Source organism: Homo sapiens, chromosome 2 (genome assembly GCF_000001405.40).
Source record: "Homo sapiens chromosome 2, GRCh38.p14 Primary Assembly".
Lineage (NCBI taxonomy): Eukaryota > Metazoa > Chordata > Mammalia > Primates > Hominidae > Homo > Homo sapiens.
Window position 1 is genome coordinate 99,666,626 of NC_000002.12, and position 15,140 is coordinate 99,681,765.

The window sequence follows — 15,140 nt, forward strand, 5'->3', positions numbered from 1 at the left end:
TGACAACTATTAATTTATGCTGTATATAAGAAACTCATTTCAAATATAACCATATTGGTAGGCTGAAAGTAAAAGAATGGAAAAAAGTTACATTATGAAAGCATTAATCAAAATAAAGCAGGAGTAGCTGTGCTGTTATCAGAAAAAGTAGACCTCAGAGCAAAGAAAATGACCAGAGACAGAGTGGGACATTACATAATGATAGAAGGGTCAATCTAAGAAAATATAGCAATCCTAAATGTACACACACCAACTAACAGAGCTGTGAAATATGTGAAAACAACCCGATTGAATAGAAAGAAGAAATAAACAAATCCACAATGACAGCCAGAGACTTCAACACCTCTCTCTCAACATTAGATAGAGCAATGAGACAGAAAGTCCAGAAAAGATACAAAAGAACATCAAATAAGATTAATTGATATTAATAGAACACCCTACCCAACAACAGCAGAATACACATTCTTTTAAGTGCCTATAAAACATATACCAATACAAACCATATCTTGGGTCATAAAAAATCCTCAACAAATGTATAAGAATTGAAGTCATACAGACTATGTTCTCTGACCATAAAGGAACCAAACTAGAAACCAATAAAAGTTAAGATTAAGGGCGATCTCTGAGCACTTAAAAATTAAACAACACATTTCTAAATAATCCATGAGTCAAAGAAGTCTTACTGAACTGAATGACGATGAAATACAACACATCAATATTTGTGGGATAAAGTTTATAGCATTGCTGAGAGTCAAATGTATAGCACTAAATACTTATATCATAAAAAAGAACGAATCTCAAATCAATAATCTAATCTCCCTCAAGAAACTAGAAAATGGGCAAAAATGTACCCAAAGCAAGCAAGAGGAGGGAAATAAAGATAAGAAATCAGTGAAACTGAAACAGAAAAAACAAATAGATAATATTAATGAAACAACAAGCTAGTTCTTTCAAAAGATCAATACAGTTAATAAACCTCTAGCAAGACTGATATAAAAAAGAAAGAAGACAAATGATGAGTATCACTAATGAAACGGGCTGACACTATAGATCTTGCAGTCATCAAAAGGATAATAAAGGAATATTATAAACAACCCTATCCACATAAACATGACAACTTAAGTGACACGGATAGACTTATTACTGAAGAACAGTGTACCACTTATACCCAGTATGAAACAGATAATCTAATAGCCCTATGACTATTAGATAATCTGAGTAGCTCTATAACTATTAATATTTTTTTTTTGGCTGGGCGTGGTGGCTCACACCTGTAATCCCAGCACTTTGGGAGGCCGAGGCGGGTAGATCATGAGGTCAGGAGATCGAGACCATCCTGGCTAACACAGTGAAACCCCGTCTCTACTAAAAAAATATAAAAAATTAGCCAGGCATGGTGGTGGGCGCCTGTAGTCCCAGCTACTCAGGAGGCTGAGGCAGGCGAATGGCGTGAACCCAGGAGGCAGAGCTTGCAGTGAGCCAAGACTGCGCCACTGCACTCCAGCCTGGGTGACACAGTGAGACTCCATCTCCCAAAAAAAAAAATTTGTTTTTGTTTTTCTCCCCGAGATGGAGTCATGCTGTCACCCGGGCTGGAGTGCAGTGGCTTGATCATAGCTCACGGCAATCTCAGCCTCTTGGGTTCAAGCAATACTCCCGTCTCAGCCTCCCGAGTAGCTGGGATTACACGTGCACACCACTATGCCCAACTAATTTTTGTATTTTTAGTAGAGACTGGTTTTCACTATGTTGGCCAGGCTGGTCTCGAACTCCTGACCTCATGATCTGCTCTCCTCAGCCTCCCAAAGTGCTGGGATTACAGGCATGAGCCACCACACCCCGCCGGGAAATAGAATTTTTAAGTTTAAAAATCTCCAGGCCCATATGGTTTTACTAGAGAATTCTGCTAAATAATTATCATCTTTTTGTTTTTGTTTTTGTTTTGTTTTTTTTTCGAGAAGGAATCTCACTCTGTCACCCAGGCTGGAGTGTAGTGGCACAATTTTGGCTCACTGCAACCTCCGCCTCCCAGGTTCAAGCGATTCTCCTGCCTCAGCATCCTAAGTAGCTAGGATTACAGGCACATGCACCACGCCTGGCTAATTTTTGTATTTTTGGTAGAGAGGGGGTTTCTTCATGTTGGTCAGGCTGGTCTTGAACTCCTGACCTCAGATGATCCACCTGCCTTGGCCTCCCAAAGTGCTGGGATTACAGGCCTGAGCCACTGTGGCCGACCTAACATCATTTTTTAAAAGCATAATCTTTTTGAGAAAAGGGCAGGGGACCCTTCTTAATTCATTTTATAAGATCAGTATTACCCTGATATCAAAACTAGCCAAAGACAGTATAAAACAGAAAACTTCCAACTAATATCCCTCATGAACATTAAAAAGACAAATGTGTGGTGAGGATGTAGAGCAACTGAAATTCTCTTACACTGCTGGTGGGACTTTCGACTGGTACAACCATTTTGGAAAATGGTTTGAGATAATTTACTAAAGTTGAACATGCACATACCCTACTGCTCAGCATTTATACTTCTGGGCATAGATCCAACAAAAATGTTCCCATGTGCTCAACAAAAGACCTGTACAAGGATGAAAAGACCTGTACAAGGATAAAAAGACCTGTACAAGGATGCTGATAAGAGCACACTATTCTACTCCCCGACCCCTGCCAAAATATCCACATGCCCATTAGCAGTGGAATGAATAAGTAAATTATGGCATACACACATAATGAAATAGGATACAGCAATGAAAATGAACAAACTTCAATTACAGGTAACAACATGGGTGACTCTCATAAACAATGTTGAATGAAAGAAGCAAGACACAAAGAGTACATGCCGAATAATTCCATTGATACAAAGTGCAAAAATAAGCAAAATTACACTATGGTGTTAGAAAACAGGAAAGTGGTTATTCTTCTGCAGAGTGGTGACTGGTGGGAGCATGGGGGCACCTGGGTCATGTCTGTATTTTCATCTGGATATTGGTTATGTCATACACATATAAAATCATTTTTAAAGACATATCATTTTTATAAATCATATACAAACAGGCTGGGCACAGTTGCTCACACCTGTAATCCCAGCACTTTGGGAGGCCGAGGCGGGTGGATCACTTGAGGTCAGAATTTTGAGACCACTCTGGCCAACATGGTGAAACCCCGTCTCTAGTGAAAATACAAAAATTACCTGTAATCCCAGCTACTTAGGAGGCCGAGGCAGCAGAATCACTTGAACCTGGGAGGCGGAGGTTGCAGTGAGCCAAGGTCATGCCACTGCACTCCAGCCTGGGCGACAAGAGTGAAACTCCGTACACACACAAAATATGCCTATTGGATCTGGTGACACGAAGATGATGGGTGACCTCAAATTTCGATGAAGTGGCAGCTTGGGGATCTAGCATTAATTCCAATTTTACAAACAGAGACACTGAAGCAGAGAACAGTTCAGAGGCTGGGCCAAGGTTGCAAAACTAAGTAGCAGAGTGGGGATTTGAACCCTTGAAGTGGGGCCGCTGTGCTCTTAACCACTAAACTAGACTGTCTTTTGACCTTCAGGATCACAAAGGCAATGGGGAGAAAAGGAAACCTCAGATAGGAGTGTTCAAAAGCATGGAGTCTGAGGCGATCTGAGGAAGGGCAGGCAGGTATAGCAACTTGAAGCTCTTGTAGACACCTCTTTATTACAGTGGCACATGGGCTGGTTGAACCAATATTCACAAAGACAGCCAGATATAATGTCAGAAAAGGTTAAGGATTTTTCATACACTGTAGTGTTTACTGAGGCAAGGGATTTTTAAAATATTTTGGGTTTACGGTGCAAACTCTGATTACATCTAGAAAAATCATTTATGTTAAATGTTCAATTATCTCAGAATGCCAGGGAATGAGTGTATGTGTCTGTGTGTGTGTGTGTGTGTGTTCGTGCACCGGCTATGCTGCTTCCGGGATAAAGCATAGTTTGGTCTTGAAGAGAAAAAAATACCATATCATTAGTCTTGTTTAAAAGTATGGGAATTACAACTTTGTGATTAGACCAGGTTATAATTATAGGCCAAAGCAGGACAACTTAATGCAATTACTGTTGAAGCAATAACTTAAACTATCATACGCAAAACCACTGTCTGGAGTCTTAATTAGGAAAAAGGGATTAATGTATAAAAATTATTCATTCTGTCAGTTCCTTTTATTGCAAAAATAGGAAGGTATATTCACATAGGAATTAAATGCAAGAATAAAGGATCTGACCTGTACATTCATAACACAATATTATCAATGAGTACAGAATGGAAGGGGGTAGCTTAAAAAGCAAAATGAGTCAACTAAAAGCTCTTACTGCCTTAGAGAACATGTATAGTACGTCATTAGTAATGTTTATTAAAATTGAGTTTTCATTGGAAATACTTCCTGGAAATAGCTCAGGAAATTATTTCCAAATTTAAAAAGGTTTGCAGATTGAAATAGTCTGTGAACCCTTTTTCTAATAAAAAGCATACACAATTTACATGTTTGATATGATTTAATCCATAATCTATGTATCCAGGCCACTTAATGGGAAAAAACACAAAGAGTTGAAATCATTTGCTTATCATCATGTAGATAAGAAGCCAAAATTAGGAGTGAAGTCATTCTACATTTCTGCTAAGATTGCTGTGTGGCAGATATCTGGCTGCCCTGGAAACAAATCAACAGATCTGTAAAACACTCGAAGCCTGAGTGGCCTTCTTTGCCCAGTTAACCTTCTTCCACTGGGTATTCTCCACCTGCCAATCTGGTTTCCAGACTCCTCAAGCTCTTCTCCCTTTTTCGTGCCTCAGTTTCTCCCATGACATGAGTAACCTCTTCTGTGACCTCATAGCTATGCTCTGCTCACTCTTCCTCGAAATTCTCCTTTGACTTTTATTTAACCTCTGCTTGTTCTCTCTGTAAGTTATTTGTATTTGCATGTCTAGACAGCAAATCATCTGCATAGCATTTCATGATACCTTTCTATTAATTCACTATTCCAAAACCAACAGAACAGCATTATTATTTTGTACTGCATACAAAAATGACTTATTAAAAAAAGCCTCTCTGAATTGTCTTTCTACCCATCACATGTATCTAAACTTGACAAAATACAACATAGGGGATGAGAAAAAGAAAACAGAAGTGTAGAAAAATCTGTCTTTAGTGTTTTTAAACTTGCTTTGAAATACAAACATTTCTTGAAATGCAGAAGTGAAAGTGATGAATGTTAAGTGGATATTTTTTCACCTTAACTGACTGATCAGAAGAGTATTTATAACCCCCTAACTGATGTCTCGAGCTGATAAATCAACACCAGGGGAGAATATTTCAAGCACATTTATCATTTAAGACAAACAGCCTATACTGAGCATAATTACTTTTTATTCATCATTTTGGCTCACCTCTACATTTGCTCCTTCTCAATGTTAATAATATCTGTGTAAGACTTCTCAATATTTAATGTTACGGATTGCCTGTTGCATGCTGATGAGGTTAAGGTCATATGTTTGATCTCCAGAAGGCCAGTTAGCTTCTCACACACACACACACACACACACACACACACACACACACACACACACACACACATGAATAAATAAAAAAGAAAAAAAAAAGGCTCTGTCTACTTCTGAGGGAAGCCTGATCTTAGCTTCCTTGTAATACCCATTGCTGGTCTCAATATCATAAAAAATTACAGAATTCAAGGCTTAAGGGAAATTATGGGCAAGCTATTTTAATATACTGACCCAACTGCATAGAAGCTCACACTTAGCAGACAAAAGACCAGCAGCCTGGAGTGCCACCATTCAGCTTGGTTAACACCCGGCACAGTCCACCAGGTAACTGTTACCAGTGTCACCTCCAAAGGATGATGACATAAAAGAGAATCTTACCTGTTCATTCTCCTCTTCATCACTGCTTAGCTTAAGGTCATCTTCCAGCATTCTGAAAGAAGGAACAAAGAGGTACAAAGAGGTACAGATAGTTAGTGGATTCAGAATAATTCAGCACCAAAATATCACCTTAATGTTGTTATTAGAGCAACATTTTGGAAATAAGTCTATTTGATTTCCTATTTTTTTTCTTTCCTTCTTATGCACTTTTCCTCTGGTGCACTTAGGAAATAGTAGACAGCCCCATCATAAAAATTAACCCTCACAACAGTCATCAGCTAAGACGGGCAGCTTTCAGAAGATGCTGTGTTAGCAGGGAAATAATACTTAACAATAACGTATTGTATATTTCGAAATAGCTAGAAGGGAAGAATTGGAATGTTCCCAACAGGAAGAAAAGATAAATATTTGAGGTGACGAATATCCTAGTTACCCTGATTTGATCATTACACATTGAATCCCTGTATCAAAATATCACACGTACCTGAAAATAGCAATAAAAAAGAAGATGCTTTTTTTTTTTTTCTCTCAAATACATAGGGGCTTTTCCCCTGGGCAGTTTGCATTCCACAATTACTTGTTTAGTGTTTTCCAAGCTCCCAGTGCTGGGCTGTGTCTCCGTGCCTGCCCCAGGGGCTTTCATGGTAAAGAGAGATGAGAAAAAGAGCCATAAAGCCATAAACTTGAGTTGTGAGCGAAGCTTCTTAGGCCATCCATCAGTCAAAGAGCTGGAAAAGATGTTGTCCCCAAGATCCTACCTAGTGGGGAAAACCAAGCAGGAGGGCGCTTTCTGAAAAGCCTGTGAAGGTGATTCCCCAGCCCACCCAGGTCCCCCCATTCATCCTGAGGAGACAGCGGGGAAGCACGAGGTTAAAAGTGAAAAAAAGAAACAGAACTTCAGACTCTGTTATTTGTTATGATAACACTGTATTCTTTTCAGCATGGCTAAATTTTTCTTTATAGTAGTTTTCAGATTAATTCATTTCAAAAGAAATCTTACTCAGAAGTGCACTGTATAAAAGCGTGCTCTCCACGCAGAGACGCTCTGAGGGAGCAGGGGAGAGCCCACTTCTGAGGGACCCTGGGGCTCCATACATCAGTGTGAAGCCCGCTGAGCCCTTGTGCTCAAAGGCCTCATTGAAGCCAGCTTCCAAAGGCTGTCCCCTAAAATGTACCTAGTGTCCTTTAAAAGCCGGTTGTAGGCCTATCACTGATACATGCCTCTGAACATTCGTAGGAGTCATTTCAGTCACTTTTGGGGCGAACTGGGGGGTAAAGAACTGGCAGGATAAGGCATGGCCCAGGCTCTGCCCCACCTGTCTATGCATGTGGGGTGAGTCGCTTCACGCACCCTGACCCCATTTCCCTATTTGTGCAGTGACGTGTTATAGAGGGCAATCCTAAGGTTGAATCCTGCTTTAGATTCCGTTGTGAGTCTACAAAATAAATATGCTCCCCAGTTTCGTCAAGGAGAAAAACCCTTCTATTTGCTCTAGAGAATACAACGGAGAAACTTCTAAGTAGTTTTTAGGGTACTATTTAAGGCATTGCCATCAGGGCACCAAATCTGCTTCCTCACAGGCTCCTGCTCATCTCCCAGTGCCGAGAGGTGTCGTTCTTCTATTATTTAAACCACAAGTGAACAAATGAACACGTCAGCAGAGGCTGTAAAGCGGCACCCCCAATTCCTCTGCATGTCTGGCACGCCATTCATTTCCTTCACCTCACAGACACATACGCTTGGCTTCAAAGAGAAGAGACCTCTTGGTGATTTATTAGAGCACTGTTTGGGAGTAGCCTAGGGAAGTGGGCTGTGTTTCCTTTGTCCTTGAGTCCCCAGTGACCAGCACAGTGCGGCACAGAACACAACGCCAGTTTGCTGGCTGGGATGAGGCCCCTTCCCCAAGACTGTTTTCCTACCCAAAGGCACAGATTTCTTCCTAATGAAAAAGACCAGAGAAGGGGACAGGTCCTTGCCTCCACTCCCATGCCCTCTTTTGGGTAAACCACCACTGCAGTGTGGTTTAATCTCTAGGACTGCCCAGCAAGCACTGGGTCTTTAAAGGGTGGGTGGTCCTGCTGGTGGGGGTGGAAAGAGTGGGGAGGACTCACACAATCATGGTTAACAACCCCCTTGCTGTCAGATGGAGGCTGTGTGGCTGGGAAATTTAATGTTTAAATGGACAATACTGTGCGTGGATTGGAAGGCCATCATCCCCCAGAGCAGGAAAGCCCAACATGGCCCGAAGTGAGGGAGCTTGGGTTGGCTGCAAACTAGCCGTGCAACTCAGTCACCACATGAGCCTGGCATGGCTGAAAGTCACCACAACGGTCAAAATGCTGCTGTGTGAGGCTCTCTTTCAAGGTAGGGAATGCAGCTTACTTCTGTTTATTTCAAACATGTGCTAAACGCGTCCACACGTAAACACGCATCTGTTTGAATCTCAGAGCCCCTTGCACCACAATCTTGTGTGAGGTGCACCTCTGGGGCTGAGCATTTGTGCTTCTATAATGAGACTCATCTATCTCATCATCATTTCCAGAAGAAAAGCAGTCAGAGTTCAACCTTGCTTTGTGAATAATCATCACTCTGTCACTGACTTTACCTCTCTTATATTAAAAAAATGAATTTATTGTGTTTCCGGCTGGGTTCTAAATACAACAAATCACATGTAAAAATACACTGCCTTCAAGAGAGACTTCAAGAGAAGTTCAAATCTAACTAAACTTCAGAATATTTCGAAATATGAGAAAGTGGCCATGGAAACACAAACTCACACAGCTTATACAACATTCCCGGAGCAATCCTGGGTGATGCTATTCCCAAAACATGAAATCACAGACCTGGGAGAGACGACCACGGCCATACCGCATCCCAGCCCCGACAGGCACAGAGGTACACCCTGAGGAGACCCAGGCTCCCCGCGGTCTGAGAGCAGGAACCCTTTGCTTTATTCTGATGGTCATGAGCAGGCCCTTGGCTCAACTCCCTAGCAAACGGCGCTTGTTCTTGTCTGTGACCACTGCATCTTCAAGTCCGGTTTAACATTCACAAACAACTCCATGTTGAATGCTGAACATATCCAAGTGGCCTCTTAGAGAGCCTAAGGAGGGGCTGAAGTTTATAGCTGAACAATGAAACATGGTTAGGAGAAGAGAAAACCCGTGACACTCACAGGATCATAGGAACTGTCTGTACTTGGTGTATGGCCAGCAGACAGCAGGCATGGCCGCCTTCACCAAACACACAAATGGCACCGTGGTGGTCATGGGCCCAACCCACTCCCAAACCCTGGGGAACATTTTTATCATTTGTCTGTTTCCCTGTGGAAACATAGGTATATCAAACAATAAATAAACAAACAAAAGTGTTCAACCAAGAGTAAAAGGAAGATGCAAATTAAGTGCTGATTAGGCTACTGGGGAGGGGTGGAGATCTCCTACTGTTTTTTTTTTTTTTTAAAGGGAAGGCAAAGACCCTGCTGCTCTAAGGGGCTCCTGAGGGCTAAGTCATCTGCACGGAAGGACTAGCCATCTGCATGGAAGCACAGGGCCTGTGCATCCATCCACAGCACCCTGGTTACACCCCTACTCCTGGGTTCCTCCAGGCCCTACCCCAGCTGATGGGGCCCCCAACCAGGGCCACCCCTTTCACGTTCCCTTAGCCCCTCCCCTTCATAGCTCTTCAGATCCCTCCCAGGGGATGAAGCCCTCAACTCACAGCAGCAGCTCTCATTGTTTAAGGGATGTCCGTCCGTAGCAGACCAGCTAAGTACTTTCTAGATGTTACTTTGTCAATCCCTGCAGCAACTCCTCCAAGGTGGGAGGTGGGTGCTACAGGGGGCTGTGGACCGTGGTAGTCAGAGCAGGGACTCCAGCGTCACACTGCCCAGGAAGAATGCTAGCTCTGCCTTTCATCTAGCCCAGGGCCCTGGGACCTGCCTCAGAGGGCTTCCTGGAGAACTTACTCCACAATCCTTGGATAGTGCTAAGCACGGGACCTTACGCCAGGGAGCCTCCAATCAATGCTCATTTTTATCAATGCTCATTTTTACCAATATTCCCTTTTCCCTAGGAGGGAAGTGGGCCTCAGAGCATTTAAGAAACTCATGTGGATAAACAAGTTGAGACTTTGAGATGTCTTTGTAATGATGCCTTAAAACAGGGCCATTTGCTCTATTTTCAGGCCATTTTGAAAAGAAAGGGTCATGTTCCTGAGAGATGGTGGAGGGGAATATATTTTGGCCTGTAACTGCTGTCAGCTGGTCTGAGTGGCTTTATGTCGACAGGACAGTAAACACGCCTATCAGCCCCAGTGCACGGAGAGGTCTGCCCTGGGAGCTAGCGGGTGGCCACGAGGCCAGGAGTCCCTCCACGAGGAGCCAAGGGGGTGTTGCCAGATGACAATGGGGAAGTTGAAATAAAATAGGTACTAAAATTGAACTTTTTGGCTGCACGCGGTGGCTTGTTCCTGTAATCCCAGTATTTTGGGAGGCCAAGGCTGGCGGATCATTGAGCCCAAGAGTTCGAGATCAGCCCGGGCAATATAGCAAAATACTGTCTCTATAAAAAATATATAAAAATTAGACAGACATGGTGGTATGGACCTGTAAACCCAGCTACTAGGGAGGCTGAGGTAGGAGGATCACCTGAGCCCTGGAGGTCAAGGCTAGAGTGAGCCGAGGTTGTACCACTGCACTCCAGCCTGGGCATAAGACCCTGTCTCAAAAAAAAAAAAAAAAAAAAATTGAACTTTTTGAATTGAGAACAGACCTGGACTTCATGGCCTTAACACTTGAAGAGTTATCAAACTACTGTCAGGGATACTCCACGTTAGCACCTCATGGTGACTTTACAGTAGAGTCTGAACCAGCTACATGAGAACTGTGACACTTTAAGGACAGAAGCAAGATTTTTTTTAACGTGCGATTAAGCGATTGAGATTCCACCTATTTTTACTTGGGAACTTGTCCTTACAATGATTGTTGGGCATGTTGTAACACCCTTCCTGACACGCAGACAAGGAGTCGAAGGGTTATGAGCCCCCAGCTGCACTCGCTCACGCTTTCATGCAGGGAGAGCGGGCCTTGCAGGAGCTCCGTAGAGGAAAGGACACAATGGGACTTTCATTCAGAACTCTAAAGAGGGAGCCAAAGATAAACAGGCCCATTTGCAGTTTGCCGAGCACTACCCTGGAGGACCTTTTTCTTTCTGAAAGGGAAAGATGAATGGAAACATGCCTCATCACCACCAGCGGAACCAGTATCCAAACTCCCAATTGTTGTTTTGTTTTGTTTTAGAGACAGGGTCTTGCTCTGTCATCTAGGCTGGAGTGCAGTGGCCCAATCATAGCTCACTGCAGCCTTGAACTCCTAGGCTCAAGCAATCGTCCCACCTCAGCCTCCCATGTATCTGGGACTACAGACGCCGGCTACCACGCCTGGCCAAACCCCCAACTGTTGACTCATTCAATTACTTCTGTGTCCACTGTGTGGCAGGCACCTATCCACAGAAGGTGTACTGTCTCCCAGGGGTGGTTCCCCTCACACACGACATTCAAATCAGCATTGTCATTTTACGTATTTTTAAATGCCTTCGAATTGTGAAGCTCTGGCAAATACAACTTTTGCAGAACCCAACTGTGTCATTTGAAGGTAAACTCAGTACTTTTCAGAAAAGGGAGTAATTCAGTACAACCTTTGCAATTTTAACATTTGATTACCATAACTTCCCTGTGTGTATTGTTTTCTTAATTGAGCAAGTGATAAATTTATGTTGTAGCTGGCGCCTGCATTTTTGAGGCCTAAAATTTCTTGGGAAGCAGAAATAGCAGCCTACACTTAACAGATGGCCAACTGCTTCCAAAGCTCATCTATATCTTCCACAGGTATTGCAAACGGGCACGTTAACTACCTGCAAATGTAATGGCAGCCATTTCACAGAGTAGTGGTTTTTAATTAATAGGATTTTCCCTGAATTAGTTGTCATTTGGGGCCCTTAACAGATCGGAATCCTTTAGTCCTTTAAAGTCATTTCATTTTGCTTTGTTTTAATGGTTTTTTAAAAAATCTGAGTTTTAATTGGGCTGTTTGATTTTCAGATTTGTTTCTATAGCTGGTGCTGCTACTATCTCCACCTACGTGAGATTTAAAGCCTAAGACAAATGTTTATGAATCTCCATTAAACATATTCATATATGCAAATGTCTATTCTAACAATTAGCATTGCCTGAGAGCCTATTCATTATGCAAGTGCATCTCTCTGCAGTTATTCCCCAAGCCATCATCTCCACTGCTTGGAACACGGGAGGGAAAGTTATACAACTCATTTCATTCTTTCTGAAGTCTACTGCTTTGTCAGGGTCAGTGCTACCATCTGCCTGTGGTTATTTTCATTAACAAGTAACCACCTTCTTCTCAGCGTTTGTTCGGAAGAACTTAGCTCATGCCATCCCAGCTAACTGGGAACAGGGAAGGCTAGCATGGGCTCACTCTAGGGGTTGGCAATTTAGTGCATCCAAGGCACAGGTGAACTCACTTAGTCTGGAGGCAAATGGAGAAATCAGGAACAAGATGAAGGGGTGCTCTACTTGACCTAAGTGTTTCCAACTCTGATGTTTTAAAACCCAGGGATCTCTACATCTTTTGAAGCAATTTTGGTCCATAGCAAGGTGGTATTTGCTCACACATATCTCCTTCCTGGACTCCCTCCCTCCCGGGGAGGGATTGTCAGTGAAATCATCCATGATCCTGTAACTCTGCCATGTTGAACCTGGGGTGAAGGTGCACTGTCTCGCTTAAGTTTATGACCTTATTTTTAGTTAGGGACAGCAACTTCTGATGGTCCTTTTCTCCACTGACATGCTGAATCCACTTGCCACCTTCTCTGCAGGCCCATCTTCCCTGGGGGACGGCATCTCATCTCCTACCCTAGAAGAACCTCACAAAAGCCAGTCTCATTTGGGAAACCTGCCAAATCCTGGTGAGATGCTGGATGATGTGTGTCTTCAAAATCTCAATCAGTCAACTGTCTTTCCCAACAGTAAGCATATCTATAGTAATAGAAAATAAGCAGAAATAAAAGGAAAATGGAAATCAACAGTCATAAGAAGAAACAGTCAGTGGTACAGAGTCTGGGGTGGTGAAATAAATTTTGAAATGGCAGCTTGGAGGCTAGCCAGCATTAGCCTGAATTCTGTCCCTAACTAGCTCTGTGAACTTAGGCAAATCACCCACTTCCCCTAGACATTGTTTCCACATCTCCAAAGTGAGAGTTGGATAAAACAACCACTATATATCCTCTTATTGGTCTGAATTCCTTGGTTCTGTGCCTTTACCAATGGGTAGAATGTCCAGGAAGACTGCTGGAGAATGAGATGATCTGATACTACTCAGCACATTCTAGGTGCTAGAGATATAAAACTGGAGAAGTCTTCCTTTTCAAGTGTCTCACTGTTTACTGGGAGCAGCAGCAGTTCCTTGAACATCCCATGATGCTTTCCAGCTAGAAATATGTAAGTGCCACACACGGTTTGTGTGATTGTGAAAATATAAAAATGCTCCATCTTTTCCACTTAGGGCAATCTAGGCCACAGTTATGAAGTAGCATTCTCCAAATATATTAGACTTTAAAATTGCTTCCTCCTAAAAGAATTACAGGGAAAGAGGGCTGGATATACTCTATCATTTCTATCAAAAAACTGAGGCTTTAGAAAGAGCACTTTAACCCGGAGTGCTTTCTCCCTGAAGATGGGTTTAAATCCTGTCTTTGTCTGTTTTAAGGACTTCTAGAAAATTAGTTTCTGAGCTCGATGTTCTCAGTATTAAAGAATTGAGTTTCTAAGGCTAAATGAATGCAAGTAGTGTGTGAAAGAACATGATCCTTTCCCGGGCAGACAGCAGAGGACAGGTCAGAGGATTCTGACTGGGAACATAAAGTTTCTGTGGCTGTACAGATTTGGTGGTGGACATTACTTAAACCTCTTTGAAGGGGGATGTGCACCTAACCAGAGGGGAAATGAGATATGTACGTATTTATATGGCTCAAATCTGATGTTGAATATTGATAATCAGTAAATAAGTAAGTTAGCTGCCTATTCTGTTTGCTAGCTAATGGTGTGCTTATTTAATAACTTCTGACAATAAGAATGCATTGAATCTGTAAGGGTCATAACATACATCAGGTTAAGATTTGTTCTTTGGTTGGAAACATCAGTTTTTGCATTTTTATGGCTGCTGTTATTGATAAGTTAATTGCTAAAAGAGTCCCTAATTAAGAGATTTGAACAGATAAACTGTTAGAATTAGAAAAGAGAACCAAGCATAATCTCCTAATTAGCAAATCCATGCACTTTAAGCTATACCAGCGTTCACACATTACCTGAGGATGGCATAACACAGTGGTTTCCAAACTTTATTGCACATTGGCATCACTTGGGAATCTTTAAAAATTATTGATGCCCAGCTCCACTCCAACCCCATATTCTGACGGGATAGGTTTGGGGTGCAATCTGGGCATCAGGTTTTTTTTTCTTTTCTTTTTTTAAAGCTCCCTAGGGAGCTGATTCATGGGCCTCAGCCCCAGATATTCTGATTCACAGCAATGTTGGGACCCACTATATAACACAGAGCTGGACTGACTCATAAGAGCTGAAGGTCATGAATAGCTCTGCACCTTGGATCAAGTCCCATACTCTAAGTTTTAGTTTGTTCATTAATATAAGGGGATGATAGTTGAGATTCAAATGAGACAATAAAGGTGAAAGCCCATTGTAAACTGTAAAGCTTCATAGGAGTTTTCAGTAATGGGTTTAGCATTACCTGGGATGTTTTGAAAGATACTGGTCTATGGGCCTTACCCCCTGGGATTCTGATTTAATTGGTTTTGGATTGGCCACAGGCATCAGGACTTCTGACAAGCTGCTATGGTCTGAATGTTCCGTGTTCCCTCAAAATTCACATATTGAAACCTAACCTTAAATGTGATAGTATTCAGAGATGGGGCCTTTGGGAGGTGATTAGCTCATGATGGCAGAGCTTTCATGAATGGGATTAGTGCCCCTGTAAGAGAGACCTCAAAGAGCTCTTTCGACTTTGTGTCCTTTCCACCGTATGAGGACCCAGCTCGTAGGTGCTGTTGATGAACCAGAAAGCAGTTTCTCAACAGACACCACATCTCGTTCCTTGATCTTGGACTCCCCGTCCCCCAGAACTGTGAGGAATAAATTAC

At 42.5% G+C, this 15,140-nt stretch overlaps 1 protein-coding gene across 28 annotated transcripts in view; it reads right to left on the bottom strand.

Annotated features, from left to right (window-relative positions):
* AFF3 (ALF transcription elongation factor 3) overlaps positions 1 to 15,140 on the bottom strand; it is a 597,172-nt gene that overhangs the window by 121,207 nt on the left and 460,825 nt on the right. For 26 of the 28 annotated variants that reach the window (NM_002285.3, XM_047444286.1, NM_001386135.1 and 23 more), the window contains one exon: positions 5,913 to 5,964. In NM_002285.3, the coding sequence (NP_002276.2) occupies positions 5,913 to 5,964 (52 nt within the window). Of the gene's footprint in view, positions 1 to 5,765; positions 5,833 to 5,912; positions 5,965 to 15,140 lie in introns of those variants that run through there. The other 2 variants (XM_011511179.4, XM_011511178.4) reach the window with 1 other exon arrangement.